The sequence below is a fragment of the Homo sapiens genome, chromosome 12 (assembly GCF_000001405.40).
Source record: "Homo sapiens chromosome 12, GRCh38.p14 Primary Assembly".
In the NCBI taxonomy this organism is placed as follows: domain Eukaryota; kingdom Metazoa; phylum Chordata; class Mammalia; order Primates; family Hominidae; genus Homo; species Homo sapiens.
Genome location: NC_000012.12, coordinates 65,582,422 through 65,601,410, shown reverse-complemented (window position 1 = coordinate 65,601,410; position 18,989 = coordinate 65,582,422). Strand labels below are relative to the sequence as shown.

Sequence of the window (18,989 nt, the reverse complement as noted above, 5' to 3'; positions counted from 1 at the left end):
CAATAAAGATTTGTTGAAAGCTGGACAAATGCTGAACAGAAACCCCAATATGCATAGTAAAAAAACAAATCAGTCGATGTATATTTCAGTCATCTGTAGTTTAGTGACAGATGGTTTATCCACATGTTTTCTGAAAAGCCTTCAATGGTTATTTTATACTCCACCAAATTTCAGTGCTTCTGCCTATTTTTAAGTTGCCTACCTCAACCCAGTTCCTTTCTGTGTCTCCAAATGTGTTTCCTCCTACTCTTCAACATGAACTGCCTTTGCCATTCATGTTGGTTTGTTTATGGTCCCACCAACACTATGTGCATTCCTATTTGCAAAAATCCACTGTTTTGATTTCCCTCACCTAGCTGCATCCTCCTCTCCTCTTCTCCTCCATCCTTTCTCCAGATCTATGGAAATTCTCCCCATTCTTCAAGAACCATCTTGAGCTCACATTGCTTTCTCTGACTAATCCATTCTCTCTCAAATTCATATAAACTCTACAGTTTATGCCATATTAATGAACCTTCATTACATAACCCTCTTACATCATTCATTTTTATGTATGTTAGTCTTATTTTATTAACTAAACCCTAAACTCCTAAAAGGTTATGGTTCATGCCTTATTCTTCATCTATATCAAATACCCACTTGGCTGGCAAAGAGATTCTGAAATGAGGCAGTGGTGGAAGATAAGAGTGGAAGAAAAACTGGGTCTAAATCATGGAAAACCTTGAATGCTGTATCAAAAGATTGTCATTAGCCTTAAGGCAGAAATAAGATTGTGTTCCTCCACCATGTCAGTCAGAAGAAAGGAAAGCCTTTCCAAGAAACGTCCTTCTCCATAGTTACTTCACCATTATTGGTCAAGTACCAATCACTAGTTATAAAGACAAAGTATGGAGAAGGAAAAATTTAGTAAATACCTTCTCTGAGTTTTCAGCATCTTGATTTCCATGTTTCATAGAGTTTTCTGAAAGTGACTGTGTGTGTTAGGTAAGTAGTTAACTGAATATTCTGCACTTAATTTCTCCAGTCTCCATTATTTCAAAAGATTGGGTCTGCTGGTCTTCATGAGATTTCAAAGATCTTTGTTCCACCCAAGGTATGGAGAGAGTTGACAGGGCTGGTGATTCTGCTCTTGACAGAAATGGGCAGAGCAAGTGTCTAGGTCATTTGGGAGAAGTGATAAAATAATTAAAAATAAAATTAAATAATGGGCTAATAGAATTGTTTGTTTAATGAAGTCTTCTCTAGGGAGGCAAAAATTTCAGTAAGAACTTAATTAAAAAGAAAATTTTAAAACTTCATAGGTAAATGCTTTTGGTAAAAGCCCTCTTCTGTGTGGAGCAATGCCATAAACCAAAACTGCATCTTTGAATCCAGATAATTTAAATGAGCAAAACCTAAAAAAACATGTATTTACCAATTATCTGGTTTTTGCATTCAAACATTTAGGCTGAAAGAGCAATGTTTCATTTTTCCTCTAAAATGTGGGATTTTTTTCCTAAACTAGCTTAATAACTATGTCAGAAAGCCATCAAACCTCATTATTTATATTATAGATTTTGTAATTACAAATTTACCTACTCACGAAAATGTATTTGTAATTCTAAAATGAGTACTCTGAGAACTTTCTCAGTTATTCACAGACATGCACAGAATGACAAAAAAATTGAGCCACCCAACATTCATACTCCCAGCTGTGATTAAACAAGGTGACACTCTGCCTTCAATGTTTTAGCTTCCATACTATAAAGAAGTGTCATTTTCGTCACCTATTTAGTGTCAAATTTTTGCATTTTTGTGTTTTTTATTGATGATTTTGCTGTTCTAAATGGTCCCCAAATATCTGGTATTCCTAAGTGCAAGAAGGCTGTGATGCACTTTATGAAGAAAATATGTGCATTAGATAAGCTATGTTCAGGCATGAGTTACAGTGGTGTTGGCCATGAGTTCAATGTTAATGAATCAACAGTATGTATTAAATAAGGTGTCTTTAAACAGAAACACACACAAAGCAAAATTATACACTGATTGGCAGAAAAAAATGTGATCGGCAACTTGCAGGAACTTAACCCTGTCTTTTCTCTAGGAGCAGTGGTTCAGTACTCACTAATTCAGCGTTAATGATAACTTTGTAGAACATAGCTTCTGTGAATAGCAAAAAATTGCCTGCATATGAATTAAAAAGCTCCATAATTCATTTCCCATGATCAGGACTGAACATTGGGCAAACATTCCACACTAATGTAATGTAGTGCCAGAGCCTTCAGTTTTGATGTCAAACAGATTTGGAGTTGAATTTCAGATTGTCTATTCACTAACTGAGAGACTTTATACAAATCTCTCTACCTTTCTAAGGCTACATTTCAAAGTTATTGAGATAATTAAATGGAATGATGTGTATAGTGCCTAGCATATAGTAAGCCCTTGCTAGAGTGTTGCTACTGATTGCTCTACTTTATCTTTCAAGTAGTGCAATCTCTATCTCAATGGCTCATGACCTTATAAGGATGAGAATGACTTTCTATTGACAGTACTCATCCCCTGCAGTGGGCTCACAGAGTCCTTCTTACATAGAATTGTATGTTGAGAGCCAGACAGGAAGCTGGGAAACCAATTTTCAAGTTACCTGCTTACGGTTTTAACCTACTCCCAGACAATTTTGGCCTCAAAGGGAAATCTCTAAAATTTAATCATGCTTTTATCACTGGGAAAATTCACCTCCAGTTAGCATTTGTCCTTTACCTTGTTATTCTAAAAGAATGATGACTCCCCCTGAGCCTTGAGTTCTATTTGCAAAGTACCTCTTCTCTCATCTTACCTCAATCATGGGTAGTTGCCAGGAAAGGAAAGGAAAAGAAAACCCATCCCACCTCACTTGCTTTTCAGAAAGTTACCATTTTATCATTTTTTAAAATCTTGCTTTCTCCTCTCTTACCTGGTACAATGGATTATCATTTCTTGTTGGAGGTGGGGAGGGGAGAGATTAAGTAGACCCTGAGAACAAGGAGAAATATCACATATAGTCCCAGAATCTTTACTGATTGAACATTGCTGGGGATATTAATCGTGAGGGCTTATTTTCCAAAGAACATCAGAGCACATCTGGAAATTAAATAAAAATAATAAGAGGGTTTAAATCAACAGACATTTTACAGAGAATTCCTCAGGACAATTAATAAGATGCTGCCCACAGAGGCACAGAGAAACTTTGATTCTGTTGTGCCTAAACAAGCCTTAAAAAATAAGTATCAAAATCCCCCTCAAGTAGTTTGGTTTTTATTAACTGCCCTCTCTTAAGGAGCTCCATGTACAGAACTGGAATCTGCCTTCTTTGTGTTTGTTTCATTTGATTTCTTTTTGCCCACATTGAATGGATAGGTGGCTATTTCTAAGGGATCTTTTTGACAGTACAAAATTATGACAGCCTAAGCTAGGCTGAGCCCCAAGGAAGGAGACTATTTGCTTGGGGAGGCAAGGAAGTGAAGACCACATCCCTTGTGAGAAATTAATTAGGTGAATCTCTTCAAAGATCCAAAGTCAAAATTGAGTCTGGACTAGGCTTTCCCATGACAAGAGGGAGGAATTTATTTGGAGATCTTCTTTATCAGCAAGATGGTTGTTAGACAGTGCAAAGGCAGAGAAAGGAAGTGACTTCAACCTCTTCCTTATCTGTAAAAAGCAATGATTACTCCCTGTGGTTGGGTACAGCCTGCCTTTCAAGGACTGTGGAGTTGGGCCAAATCAAGGCAAGAGTAGGAAAAGAGCCAAGTCTGGACTCCACAGCCCCTTCACTCCTCTCCTCCTCCTTTGTTGTGTCTCCTCATCCTGCTGCCCTCCAGGTACCCAAGAACCTCTGACACCTTACCAAATGCTCTGGGTCCCCCAGCCCCATTTGAGCAACTTAACCTGGGTCTTAAGAGTTGAATTGATTCTCACAAAATTCCCGTGTTGAAGTCCTAACCCCTAGTACCTCAGCATGTCACCTCAGCATGTCACCTTATTTTGGATATAGGGTTTTTGCAGAGGTCATCAAGTTAAAATGAAATCATTAGGATAGGCCCTAATCCAATATGGCTTGTGTCTTTATAAAAATTAGAGGCAGAAACTTATACAGGGTTCAGAACACCAATGTAAACATGAAGACAGCTATCAACAAGTCAAGAAGAGAACCTTGGAACAGATCCTTCCTTCACTACACTCAGAAGGAACCAACTCTGCTAATACCTTGACTTCAGACTTCTAACCTCTAGAACTGTGAAACACTAAATTTCTATTGTGTAAGCCACTCAGTTGGTGGTCCTTTGTTATGGCAGCCCTGACCAACTATTATACTACTGAGCTATATAGCTCTTTTTGCTGTGCATTTGGTTTCTAAAGTGTGAAGCTCCAACCTAAGGGAGACTTGGAATTCTTGCCAGCTTGCTAAGATTTATATAGTCATGTGATCCTTAATTTAGAGCCATGTAAATATGCCGTGAGGATAACACATATAGATTGCTCAATGATTGTCCTTTGCATTCCTTTCTAGATTTAACTCTCTCTCTCACTCTCCCTCCTCTCTCTTTCTCTTTCTCTCTATCTCTGTTTCTCCTCACCCTATTCTAGCTGTACTGAGTACTGATCTACTCATTTCCTGGAGGGAAACCTGTCCTCTCACTACAGAACCTTTGCATATGCTCTTCTCTCTACCTTAAAATACCCCCACATATACCAAGTTCTGGCCAACTGCCACTTACACCTTAGTCACGAAGATGTGCTAAGTTGCCACATGTTTGCGGAAGTTGTTGCTGAACTCTGCCAAGATTTAGCTAGATGCCCTTCCTATGTGACCACACAGCACCATGTCTCACTTTTTTTTATATCAACAAAAAATCTTTGTTGATCACCTGTTTACTTGGTTACTTCACCCATTAGACCAGGGGAAGGGCTATTCTATCTTTAATCTCATGTTTGCAGCACCAGGCTCAGTGGGTAAAATGAAATTCATTTTCAGACATTACAATAATGCATCAAAACTTTTTGTTCTTATGAATTTCTTTTCTTTTCTTTTTTTTATGGAGTCTCGCTCTGTTGCCCAGACTGGAGTACAGTGGCACAATCTCGGCTCACTGCAACCTCCACCTCCCAGGTTCAAGTGATTCTTGTGCCTCAGCCTCTATAGTAGCTGGGATTACAGACACACACCACCACACCTGTCTAATTTTTGTTTATTTAGTAGAGATGAGGTTTCACCATGTTGGCCAGGCTGGTATTGAACTCCTGGCATCAAGTGATCCACCCACCTTGGCCTCCCAAAGTGCTGGGATTAAAGGTGTGAGCCACCATGCCCGGTAAATTTTCTTAATCAATAGATATGAAATGACTATATTGGGAAACCTCAGATTTTTTACTTTGAAAAGTGGTCCCCATCCTCAAAGGTTTGGAAACCATTGCTCTAACACAGAGGTCCCATAGATGCAGTCTAAGGGCCTAATCCAGCCTGCAGAAAGGTTGGTTTAGCCAGCCCAAGGCTGCAGGTGTCTCTGGATGTGAACACCTCTCCCTGGGTGGTGTGGGCTCTGCAGGCACCACAGGCTTCCCATCCCCCCTGTCTTGCACTCACGCCTTTGCTCATCAGTGCTACCTATCTGGTCCCTGAGCACTGGTTCTTTAAAAACGTTTCCCTCTTTGCCCCTGAGTTTTCATCGGAATTTACTTTCCTGAGGGTCTCCTTTCCCAAATGTGTTAATCTAAATTCTAAACAAAGGTTTAACTGGCTGACTCTTTTAGAGAAAATTCATATTTTATCCAGATCTGTGAGGGGGATTATTTGAGGTACATGTGGGCAGGGAATTGTTTTTTCTATAACCCTACAAAACAAAACTCTCAAAGGAAGGTTAACTGGTTACTCTTGGAGTTTCACCTTGTCTGGTAAAAGGTATACAAGGCCTGAAAACAGATACCTAACTGTGATCAAACTTTGCTTTCCTTCCCTGGGACCTGCTGGAGACACTAACAAGCAGAGGAACACTCAAATCCCAGGGAAGTTGAAGGGACGGAAGTGGTGGGGGGATGGGGAGAAGTAGGGAGTGCGGGGAAAGGTAAGAAGCGGGAGTGGGCGGGAAGTGGGTTGTAGGGGGGCATTGCAGCAAGGGCCACATAATCCCCTGTCAGAATTGTCCATCTCTAGGCAACAGGTTATCAAATCATCGACAGTGACATATGAAATACTGCTTTATTAATGTTCTTTCTTATCTGTAAACAGCTTCAGAAAGTGAAAAGGTAGTTTCATCTTGGAACATATTCCGATCATTCTGAGTTCACGCTACGTTAGGGTTTAAATAAATCAAATTGCTTGGTGGATTTATTTTGGAGACTCTCAAGAAAAAAGCAATGTACTATGTAGCTCAGGCTGACAACCAGGACGTGGTGATACAGTGCCCTTCCAGGTGGGGAAGTCCCCACAAGTAGAATCTGTCTGCTTATGGGTGAATTATCTCTTTTGTTCTCCTTACCCCTCCCCCCACCCCACTCCCCACTCCCCTTCCAGATAAACTTCCCAGAGGGACACCTTTAGTGTTCTCTGAAAGCTCCAGTTCAAATGCCAAGTACAGCTTCCCTCTCTCTCTTTTTAAAAATACCCTCTCACTTTTTTAAATCCCTTTTATGATCCTGTTTTCGAGGCTGACACAGCCTGTTTTCTGTCCATAGTTACCCTTTCTTTCCTCCCCTTTTGCCAGTTTTTAGTCCAATATGCCGATTGTCCTACACTTCCATGACTTCAGACCTTAAACATTTCAACCAACAGTGGAGAATTCTGTAGAGCGCTTTCTGAAAAACTTAGTCTATAATCTCCTCCCTTCCCCCATCCAGCTCACTGGGGCAGCGATTTCCTCAAAGAATTCCAACAAATTAGTTAGGCACGACTCCCCTTCCTGAAGTGATGTTAGCTGTCTTTAATCAAGCTTGCTTTTCCAACTGTTCCCCATTTGATACCTTAAAGTAGTTACAGAGTTTTTCCCTCTAACTAAAGCTACACTGACCAGCTTATCCTCTTACTCCCAGCATACCCACAAATATTGATAATATTTTGAAGAGAGGCTGTGGGTAATGAAGAGGGAAAGACTTCTTTAAGTCTTTTAACTTATCCTATTCTTTTCATAGACAGAGATGTTTTTTAAGCCCAAAGGTAAATGTTTAAAATCAGAATCCCAGAGAAAGGCATCTTAAAATCAGCCCTGGTGCCTTAAAAAATGTTACTACTTCTTCTATACATTGGAACAAATGTTTAAAGTAAGACCATCTTAATTTTTTTTAATGCCAATGGCATGAAGTTCCTACACTAATCATGCCTGGTATTTACTTGGTGTTTGCAGTGCCAAATCTCAACTTCTGAAGTCAAGAGGCTAAGTTATAAATACCCACCATTAGATAGCCATAAAATATTTGCCTGAAGGCTTTGATAGTTTAAAGCTCTCCATTATACATATATACAGATATGTATATTCTTGCAGATATGTATATTTTAAGATACATATGTATCTTCACAACACCTCATGTGTGGTCATGATATCCATCGCATAAACTTCTGCATTTTCCAAACCCTGGGATACAATTTCAAGCCATATATAAACTGACTTTATACTGCACACATGCACTGCACTGGGCCCTACCATGAAGATGGCATCATTATTTCTGTCTGATTCATGGTCCAAATCCAGGAGATGGTCTCAAGAAAAAGGCCTTTTAGGACCAGGCTTCCAACTTGAAACTCTCCATGGGAATTTCCAGAATAACTCTGATAGTTCAAGGGGAAAAAAAGTGAAGAAGGACTGAAAACCAGAACCAAAACCGAACAAAAGGAGCAGCATTAAAAAGTTATGTGATGAAGTGGGATGCTGTAAACTTTTTATTATGACTTGTTTGGAAAGAGCTTGCTTAACAAATGCAGTCATCCTTTATTCAAATGCACAGCAATAAAAGTTTTTATAGTCCACTATCACATGCCATAATGTGTACGAAATGGCTAAGCCCAGTCAGATCTTGGAAAAGAATGTTTTCTTTGCTCTTCTAGGAAAGTTTGCCTTGTAAAACAAAAAAAAAGTGAAGGAAGAAAGAAACTTCTACAGAGTTATGGGGATGGGGAATTGTCTGGAAATTATATCAATTGAGGAATGAGTACAGAGAAGGGACCCATCTCCTTACCTGGAAAAGAGAAAACTAATGAGGGAAATGAGAACTGTTTTCACATATTTTAAGGGAAATTACATAGAAGAGTTATTGATTGTAGAGTTATGATGTGAACTTATAAAGGACAGAACTAAGGCCAATGGGTAAACATTGGGGTGAAAGAACAGAGGTAGACTTGACTTTATAATAAAGAACCTTCTGACATGATGGCTTCTCAACAAAGGAACGATCTGCATTGAAAATTACTGAGTTCTCCATGCCTAGGTCAATTACCATCCAATTGTTACACACGTAGGGGATTCTTGCAACAGGTGGACTCTGAATGAGTTGGCCTCTATGATACCTCCCATGTCTAGATGTCTATGATTCCAAGATCTGCTTAAAATTCCAAATTGGTAATTGGAGACATTTCAAATCTCCTGTGAATCAGTATGCATCTGAATAGGATTTTCATTAAAAAAAAAATTAAAATTTAAAAATCTGTTCTCATTGTCTAGTGTTCCTTAAGAAGAAAGGCATTTATTTTTTAAAGTAGGAAATGTCAGAAGCAAAGGCTTTCAAAAGACTCAAGTTTGGAGCACAGGGTTTTTCTGTTGTTTATTCATATAACCCGTGTTGTCAAATGTTTTCAGGTTGGGAGTCACAGTATGTCGAAAGGCTGTGGGGCAATTGCAAAAGATTTAAAGAAATCAGAGTTGTCAGAATCTGAACAGAAATTTGATGTAAAATGCATTAGTAGATGCTTTTCCTTCCACAGGATCACCTCCGATTCCCCTTTTTCCAGATCACAGATCTGCCAAAGGCCCCTTTTTCTTTGACACCACCCTTTCTTCATGTTCACTTTCTGTGCCTCCTAGGTCTGTTCTTGTCTCCCTTAGCATATTTTCCTTCTGAAGCAAAACAGAGGAAAGCTATTCCTACAGCTCTCCCGTTAGTGGGAGAGACCAAACAGGCTCTCTGAAGGGATAAAGGATGAGAAAGTCAGAGAATTACTGAGCTAGTCTCATTATCTCACTCTTTATTTATTGTCAAACTTGCCAAAAAAATTGCCCAGGAACAGATTTCCTTCCCTATTATTTAAGCTGATTCTCTCTTTCTTCTACTCTCTTGCCAAACTTACTTCATGATATGAGAGATGGAAGAGGGCAGTGTAATAAGACCAGGATGAATTTCATCCTTATTTAGTACCTCTCATTCCTCAGAGTCCCCAGAGGCCTGGCAATCTATATTTCATGCCCTTCTCCTTCACTGCAGAAAGCTGGCCTCAATGCTGTGAAGCGGATGCCCAATGAAAGCAAAGTTAAGCTCTGTTCAAGTCTGACCATTACTTCCATTATGCATGAGCATTTCCATGACGCTCTATATTGGTCAATGTTATATTACTCAGTCTATAGGGGAGTGAAAGGAGTGTATTAGTAAATGGTATTTCCACACACTTCCCTCTCTTAACTTCTTTTTTGGGTTTCCTTTTCGGGTTCTGAATTTTCCCTCTCACATAGAATTCTTCTTGTTTAGTTCCATCAGAATCCCTTTCAGGAAGAAATTCTATGAAGACAGCATCCATTTTACAATGCACAAAGCAGGTGGCACACAGTGAAGTTTTCCTTTAAGTTTTTCATTAAATAGAAACACACTATGAAATAAAAACATTAAATACAAACAGTACATCACCCTACCTTAAAGGAAAATATATCTTATTTACCAAGTGGAGGAAAGAGGGACATAGTAACCACACCAGTTTAACCACTATCTATGAAAACATTAAAATAACTGATACATAAAGTATGTGCTTTATAGGTATCACCTGTTTTACATTTATTTTATTTTATTTATTTATTTTTTTATTTTTTGAGACAGAGTCTCACTCTGTTGCCCAGGCTAGAGTGCAGTGGCGTGATCTTAGTTTACTGCAACCTCCGCCTCCCCGATTCAAGCAATTCTCGTGCCTCAGCCTTCCGAGTAGCTGGGGTATAGGAGCACGCCACCACGCCCAGCTACTTTTTTGTATTTTTAGTAGAGACAGGGTTTCACCATGTTGGCCAGGCTGATCTCGAACTCCCGACCTTAGGTGATCTGCCCACCTCTGCCTCCCAAAGTGTTGGGATTACGGGTGTGAGCCACTGCGCCTGGCCTGTTTTACATTTAATATCTCATTTATTTCTCACGACCATGGTATTTCTTATCATGATAGAGAAAAACAAAACTTAACAGAGAGTAAGCAAGATTTGTTCAAGGTCATGCCAATTCTTTAAGTGATTTGAGTGCACATGATTCTGACTTGAGAATCAATTCTCGGAACCACCATTTCCCGTTCTTCCTCCCATATTTTTTCAAGGGCGAATATGAGAAAGAGGCCATTTCCACTTCGAGTAGATTCTTCTACCTGTGTCTATCTCTATTTTGGGTAAATGCAACTGTTCTCTGGTTCTGGCCCTTGGGTGAACCCCCAGGCATTTGGAGCTCTTCATTAAGGGGTGACTCCTGGCCTTCGACATCTTCATCCAAGCTTCACTCCATTTCCACTGCTCTTCTCAGGCCAAACATCTCTGAAGGGTCTGTGATTGAACTTGGGGGTGGTGGGGGTAGGGACAGCGCAGTACAAGCATACGCTTCTCACTGAAAGGGCAGCTGTCCACTGAGTTCACACAGTAACTTGAGTAGGTGTGTTACTTAATACGCCACAAGAAAATGCCCACCCTGAGATTCTGAAATTGTGGTTTTAATAGGCCTCCTGCTGCTGCTCGGCTGCCTTCCAAAGGCCTGTTGAATTGCTTCCTCTGCAAGCAGGACCTTCTGTCAGAGACTCTGGGGGGACTGTGGTTGTGGATCTGTGGTGAGAGGTGACAGGTGGCCACTCTGCAATTGTGGGATGTTAAAATGAATACTAAAACCTTTTTTCCAAAGGGTGACTAGAGACTAGGTAAAGAAAGAATGGCTATTTGGTACTGTGCCCCCAAGTTTCTGTGCCTCTGGAGAAGGTGTGCTGGCTCCTGCCCAGCTTTCCACACTCAGAGACCTAAATCCTCCCAAGACTCATTCTGGGAAGATCTTGGCATGAGGACACACTGGCTATGCCCAGGCTGGGCCTTCCCAGAGGTTTGCTTAGCTGGGACCCCTCACCCAACTAAGCCTCCCCACCTGTGTCAAGGAGGTGGCTCCTAAAAGAGCATAACTACCATTTTTGCAGAGGATCGTGCCTTTTTTTCCTCCTCAAGAATAGCAAGGAACTACTACAAATGGCCTCAGACATGGTAATTTAAGAGGCAATAGGCCTTTTTATTTTTGACCCAAGGCAGAGCAAACTTCATTTAATGACTAGGAGTTTTTAACAGCTTACCAAATGAATTTTTCCCCACTATGGAACAGTGGAAGTTGAGAAGTTCCTCAGCCCACGGAAAGTTCCTCAGCCCACAGGAAGGGCTTGGTACATGAACTCTATCAAACGTGCTCTGAAATGGGATGAGTTGAATCCAATTCATCTCCTAGAGACAGGGCATGGGCCATTTTTGGAAGCATTGTTTGTTGTAGAGAAGTGAGAAATGTTTTGAGAGTCCAACTAAGATATGTGTCATATGTTTTATATCAATGGCTATGCTTTTTTTTTTTTTTTAATCAGGTTTCTGTTGTTGAAACTTTTCTAGAAGTATCTGCTCCTTAGGCCTGAGCTGTGTTGCTTTATTACTGCTCTGATCTGTCAGGGTATTCCTGGGAGACTGTGCAGCTTTTCCTAAAATCAGGAATTCATTGTATAGACTCTGTTTTTCAAATACTTTCTTAAAGACTGAAAGCCAGGCTCAGCCTCTTATCTTTGGAATTAGCATCTATTAGCACTACTCTGTCATGGTACACAAATGTCACTCTTTTTGGTTGTCCAATAAACATCAGAACTTCTTACCCATATTTGAAGACTTCCACGCTTTAGGATTCTTGGTGGAAGCTCATGTTATCAACTAGTACAGAAGCTAAAAATGCTGCATACATACTTATTGTTTCCCAAATTTCTCTAGAGCTAGGCGCGAGCATGTGGCCCAGGTTCCCCAGTAATATGTACCTTTGCATACTTGGAATCTAGAAGTCATGATGCAAGAAGCTCGCATTGCAAGGAAGACTCTGGTAGTGGTGGCAGCTGCCCATAGAATCTAGGGATCATAAGCAGCTATGATGTCCTCACCAGAAAGGTTCTGCAATTTGATTCTGAGCATTGTTCCTGGCTATAGAGTTCAGAATCTTCTCTAAGGCACCTGGCAATTCCACGAGCTACTCAAAAGCCTTTTAAGAGCCGGATATGGTGGCTCTTGCCTGTAATCCTAGCACTTTGGGAGGCTGAGCCCAAGGGTTTGAGACCAGCCTAAGCAACATAGTGAGATCCAGCTCTAGAATAAATTTAAAAATTAGCCAGGTGTGGGGGTGTGTGCTTGTAGTCCCAGCGACTTGGGAGGCTGAGGAAGGGGGATCACTTGAGCCCAGGAGTTTGAGGCTGCAGCGAGCTATGATTGTACTACTGCACTCCAGCCTGCGTGACAGAGTGAGACTGTTTCTCAAAAAAAAAGTGGGGGCCTTTTAATAATTTTTTTCCTTAGAATGGCTGTCTGCTGTTTACAACTAAATATTTTCACTTAAAACAGTAGAAATAAGTTTTAAATAGGTAGAAGTTCCAATTTTTTGATAACAAAATCATCTTAAATTATAAAACTGTACACTAATGTGGCTCAGAGTCTTTGAACTTGAGAGTGCATTATGAATATAAATACACATATATTTACATATTCATGCAGAAATATGTATAGAAACATAAACATGTACACATGTATATGTATGTGTGTGCATGTCCAAGTCACACAATTCAATATGTCACATTAGAATTGGAAGTCAGTGGCTTCCAATGCCAAACTTTAAATTCTCTTCTGTAGTTGTTAGGTCACCTGCCTTCTCCACAGTCAATTGCTTTCTGTTCACTCCCTCTTTATTGAAAGAATGTACTTTATTTTTATCAAGCTGAACAGTGTTCTCCTCCTTTCCCAACCAATTTCAGCTGAGCTAATCACTGACACAAACTGAACTAAGACCAGTGTGGGCTATTCACCCACACCAGCCATGGAGTAGCATTCATTTTGAAGCAGAAACACTAAACATTAAGTGAAATGTGCAGTTGTTAAAAGGGAAGTGTGTGCCATATACCCTCAGGGACATGTGCTGTACTTAAGGAAATCTGGAGGCTCTGAAAACCTGGTTCACAAAGCGCACACACTTTTCTACAACAAGAAATCTAATAATGCAGAGAAAACTGAAGGAAACTTCCCTGGAATCTCCACGTAACTAAGTGCTTTCCAAAGCTCTTAGCCAAAGCATGAGAATGTTTTCTAAGTTTTCCCCCTTATAGATTATAGCATTTAATCTTCGCAGTGACTCTGGAGGGCGAACTAAGGCAGGCACTACTACCTCCATCTTAAAGATGGAGAAACCAAGGCCAAGGTCAACAGTAAACTAATGGCTCAGCCAGGACTAAACCTATGAATTTCTGGGTCCTAATTCATTGCTTTTCCCCCTTCACCATGCCATTTCTCAATGTTTCAGGGGTGGTTTTCTTGTTTCCTTCTTTTGGATGGAACTGTGTGTGTGTGTGTGTGTGTGTGTGTGTGTGTGTATTTATATTTGTATAAATATATATTTATATTATACATTTTAATATTTTGTTAAAATATATAAATGTACAAAATATATAAAATACTATATGATGAAGGACTTTCAGTCAAAGGTAAAGATCAAGAAATTGCTTATGTGTTCATCTTCAGAAAAGAGTGAGTAACTAGTGGCCTTTAGATGAGCCAACCGCAAGCCTGGACTCATCTTTGACATCTCCTGCTTCCCTCCATAATGACCGTCGTTGCTCCTCTTGCCCAAGGTAATCCCCGTTCATTCTCCATTGTTCAGCTTAAACATATCTCCTCCTGGGAAGCCTCCTCTGATCCCCCTGTTTAGGGCAAGGTCCTTTCATTATATGTGCTCTTAATAGTGTATTCCTTTCTCACTTTTTCATTCATTACATATGAGTTAGCATAACTACCTCTTTTTTGAAACAAGATTTTACTCTGTTGCCCAGGCTGGAGTGCAGTGGCACAATCATGGTTCACTGTTGCGTCTACTTCCTGGGCTCAGGTGATTCTTCCATCTCAGCCTCACAGGTACTACAGACATGCACCACCATGCCCAGCTACTTTTTTTAAAATTATTTTTTGTAGAGACAGGGTTTTGGCATGTTGCCCAGGCTGGTCTTGAATTCCTGGGCCTAAGTGTTCTGCCTGCCTTGGCCTCCCAAATTGCTGGGATTACAGTCATGAGCCACTGTGCTTGGCTGACTACCTCTTTAGTATCTGTTTTTGCATATAATTATATCCCAGAACCTAGCCCAGACACAGAGTGGGTTCTCACTCAATCTTTGCTGAAGGATGGCGTGAGAGCACAGGAGGAGGCACTTATCCATAGCAGGTGGCTCTCCTCAGTCAGTACAGTGCAGCAGGTAAGATGGGTTCTGTAGTTAGAATACCTGAGTTTGAATCCTGGCTCTGAGACCTCCTGGCTCTGTGACTAAGCAAGTTGCCTGAACTCTCTGTATTCAGTGGCCTCATCCAATAAAATGGTGATAATATAATTACTTACCACACAGAGCTATTTGAGAACCAAATGAGCTTATATATGTAAAGTACTTAGGACATTGCCTGTTATGTAATAAATGTTTACTAAATATTAACAGTGATTCCTTTTCATAACTAGATGGAGAAAATGGGTGTGGGTAAAGTCAGATTTATAGGTTCAGTGATGGGAAGATAGAGACTTCCCTCTTCTGGCCAAATTAGAACAAGATTGAGAGAAAGTTTGAGTGTCAGAGAGGAGAAGAGAGTGATTCAATTGAGGCTGCTGCACAGAAATCCTGAATATGTCAGTTCTGTCATGGAACTGCCTCTCACCACTTTTCCAGGCCTTCAATTCAGGCTTTCAGAGCCGGCTTGCCTCCACACAGGATGAGCAATCAGAGAAGTTTTGCTAATTCTCAGGAGTTGAAAGGTCAAAAGCCTAATGCATCTAGTACCTCAGAGCAATAACCTAGTCTGCAACACCAAGGCCTGAGAGTTTAATGTGAATTTGGAATGCACCAGGTGCACAATTAGGAAATAGCTTTTGTATTCTGGAAGAATCTATCCCTTTTGCAGTAGTTCTTAGTTTCTTGGAAGTTCTGAGATTTTATTGTATCCTTGGAGTGATCAACTCTGTTTCCTTAATGTGTGCAACGGCAGACATCCATCTGTTGGGACAGTCGACCTAACCTGTCACTGGGTGATGGATGTTTTCCTATTACTCTGCTGAAGAGCATTAAGTTAAAGCCTTTACTTTAGCTCCACAGATAGTTGAGACAACAGATGGCCTTTTTTTTTTTTTTTCAATTCTGGGGAATTGCTGCAATAGGAGGTTCAGAAGAGTGGCTTCCATTTGCTGATGGCTTAAAATAGACTAGGCAAATAAAGAACTATTAGTGTTATGTATTCCAGGAAGGATAGTAGCTAATGAGAGTGGAGCTGGAGGAAAGGAGGGAAAACTTGGTCTAGTTGCCTTCCTGACCTTGCAGGATGCAGTAAATTTAGGGTACAGTGTAGATGAGGGGAGCCAGAGAAGTTTTGAAGCAGTCAAGTTCTATCTATAATGCTCACACATTGAATATCTTTCTGGAGACAAAAGTGTCTCTTAATCAAACAAATACAACTAGAAGACAGACAATGCAAATCCATCCTCGAAAATTACTTGTATACTTCAATGAATACTTTAAAAATACTGGAGCCTGTATTTTTTTAATGACAGTTTGGAGGTATACACACTAGATTGAAATCATTTGTCCCATTTTATGAGATTTCTATGATCAGGTGAGGCCTTCAAATTATCTTGAAGCAAGCAAACTAAGGTATCTTCGATAGATGTAGAGTTTGCTTTTGATCATCTAGAGGACTCAAACATTCACCATGAGAAGTATTCTGTTTCAGGCTGGACATGGTGGCTCATGTCTGTAATCCCAGCACTTTGGTAGGCTGAGGCGATCAGATCAGCTGAGGTCAGGAGTTCGAGACCAGCCTGGCCAACATGGTGAAACCCTGTCTTTACTAAAAATACAAAATTTAACCGGGTGTGGTGGCAGGTGCTTGTAATCCCAGCTACTTGGGAGGCTGAGGCAGGAGAATTGCTTGAACCCAGGAGGCAGAGGTTGCAGTGAGCCGAGGTTGTACCACTGCACTCTAGCCTGGGCGACAGAGACACTGTGTCTCAAAAAATAAAAAAAATAAAAAAAAGAAGAATTCTGTTTTACGTAATAGTAGAATATTGATAAACTAATGGGATTATTGGCCGTATGCTGACTAACTGAAAGCAGTCATTATTCAGAGCTATAACCTCATGAAAGGAATGAAAAGCCTAGTTTGGAAGCTTGCTATTTATATTGCACTGTAGAAACCTTGCTGCCATCTTTTTTTTTTTTTTTTTTTTTTTTTTTTTTTTTTTTTTTGAGACGGAGTCTCGCTCTGTCGCCCAGGCTGGAGTGCAGTGGCGGGATCTCGGCTCACTGCAAGCTCCGCCTCCCGGGTTCACGCCATTCTCCTGCCTCAGCCTCCCAAGTAGCTGGGACTACAGGCGCCCGCCACTACGCCCGGCTAATTTTTTGTATTTTTAGTAGAGACGGGGTTTCACCGTTTTAGCCGGGATGGTCTCGATCTCCTGACCTCGTGATCCGCCCGCCTTAGGAACTTCTCAGATGGCAAGTTGCAGGATGGTCTCAAGCAAAATGTGCCCATTGCTTGAATGGGATTTGAAATTTGTAATGTCTCATAAAAGACAGTGAAACTAGCTTATGATACATGTTAGAAATTAAAGAGACAGCTTCTTACAAAATGCTCTCAACCACATGCACGTAGAGAGCCCTTACTAATCCCCAGGGTAGGAATTGCAGACTGTAATATCTCTAGCTTATCCAGCTATACCAGCCATCCTCCAGTGGCAGAGAATTACTCTATAATCCGCTCACAGATTAAGGATGTAAAGTGTAAAGGCTTTTAGCAGATGCTTTGGATCTTGAAGGCATATGTTGTTTATACTTCTTTTAAAGAAATCTCCAAAACTACTGTAGAATTTGAAATTATCTGGCATTTGGGAATTTCGGTTATCTTTTTTCATGTGAAAGTAAAACCAAGAGCTGGGTCATAAAAATACAGCCCAGTGCAAGATGGTCAGCAGTATACACAATAGAACTTAAATTCACTTAACATGCATGCAAGGTGAGCATGATCATCTGTGGATGACAATAAGGGATGCCAGCTCCATGTGTGGTGTCTTAGTAGGCAAAGTAACACTTCACAGTCTTTTCTATCAAAGAACTTAGACTTCAAGATAAAACACCACCATAACAGTGAATGCTGCTGGAAGGATGTGGTGAATGTGTTCTTTGATTTTATGCCTAGAATGTGGTAGGCACCCTGGTAAGCACCTGGAATACACACAACTTCATGGAGTGAATGTCCAAAAAATTGATTCCCATTTAAACAGCCTGGATGTCAAGAACTACAATATACCCTCCCTCCTAATCTCCAAAAAATGTAAGGTTCACAGGAGGAAACCATGGTCATTCTATTTAGATTTAGTCATTATATTCACTCACCAGAAATCTAGAAATGCACCTTTTGCTCTCGTGAGGTAAATGGAAAGATTTGAATATCTATTTAAGCAAAATGAATCAGTTACGTTTTTGGTTGCAATCATCAGAAAGAGATTCTGGTTAACCTAAGCAGAGGAAGGGATTTAATGGAAAGACATGGGGAAGCTAGATGAATTGAGGAAAAATTTAAACCAGTACTCAGAAAGGATACGAACCAGAAAGTCTTCAGAGGCCTGCATTGCAGGAACAAATGGTGCATATGGTCAGAACATCTTCAATAGAATATTTTTTTTTCTTTTGAGACAGGGTCTCACTTTGCGGCCCAGGCTGGAGTGCAGTGGTGCAAACACAGCTCTGCAGCCTTGACCTCCCAGGCTCAAGCGATTCACCCACCTCAGTCTCCTAAGTAGTTGAGACTACAGGAGTGTGCCACCACACCAGGCTAATTTTTGTATTAGTATTATTATTATTTTTTTTGTAGAGACAGGGTTTTGCCATGTTGCCTAGGCTAGTCTTGAACTCCTGGGCTCAAGCGATCCACCCACCTGGTCTCCCAAAGTGCTGGGATTACAGGTGGGAACCACCGCACCTGGTTGAATAATTTTTTTTTTTTGGTTCAGCTCTTTAATACTTACTTGTAAAACTGAAAAGGAAGATGCTCCCTGAACACTGCAGATCAAATAATAGAAGTTTTTGTTGGTGGTGGTTGTTTTTTTGTTTCCTAGAAGTTGTGGACACAATGTTGCTAGTATTTCATTAATAATGGCCAATCAGCCCCACACTTGATGTAAACTGAGGGCTGGGAGAGAACATTGTTTTCAATTAACATTCACATAGACCAAACATGAAAACAAATCCTCGACTTCAATTTCTGTTAAACCATAAAATAAAGGCCAGAATTTTAGGTTCACAAGAGGATTGTAGATTTTTTTAATTATAGATTTTAAAAATCTACAATCATATTTATTTACAGCTGGGAACTGTTTTCTGGGATGTCTTCCTGCCTAGTTAATGCACTTCTTCCACATGATAAAGGCCAATGGGAGAACCCATTAGCTCTGCTTGGCTCTTGGAAGTCCATATTTATTGAGGCCTTTGAGAGAGCTCAATATATAATAACTCTATTCCTCGCTAA

The 18,989-nt window shown here is 40.4% G+C and overlaps 1 long non-coding RNA gene across 4 annotated transcripts in view; it reads left to right on the top strand.

Annotated features, from left to right (window-relative positions):
* MSRB3-AS1 (MSRB3 antisense RNA 1) overlaps positions 1 to 18,989 on the top strand; it is a 175,556-nt gene that overhangs the window by 40,962 nt on the left and 115,605 nt on the right. The window contains exon 3 of one of the 4 annotated variants that reach the window (NR_120434.1): positions 13,959 to 14,068. The exons of the other annotated variants lie outside the window; for them this stretch is intronic. This is a non-coding gene — a long non-coding RNA (MSRB3 antisense RNA 1). The remainder of the gene's footprint in view (positions 1 to 13,958; positions 14,069 to 18,989) is intronic. 4 annotated transcript variants of the gene reach the window in all.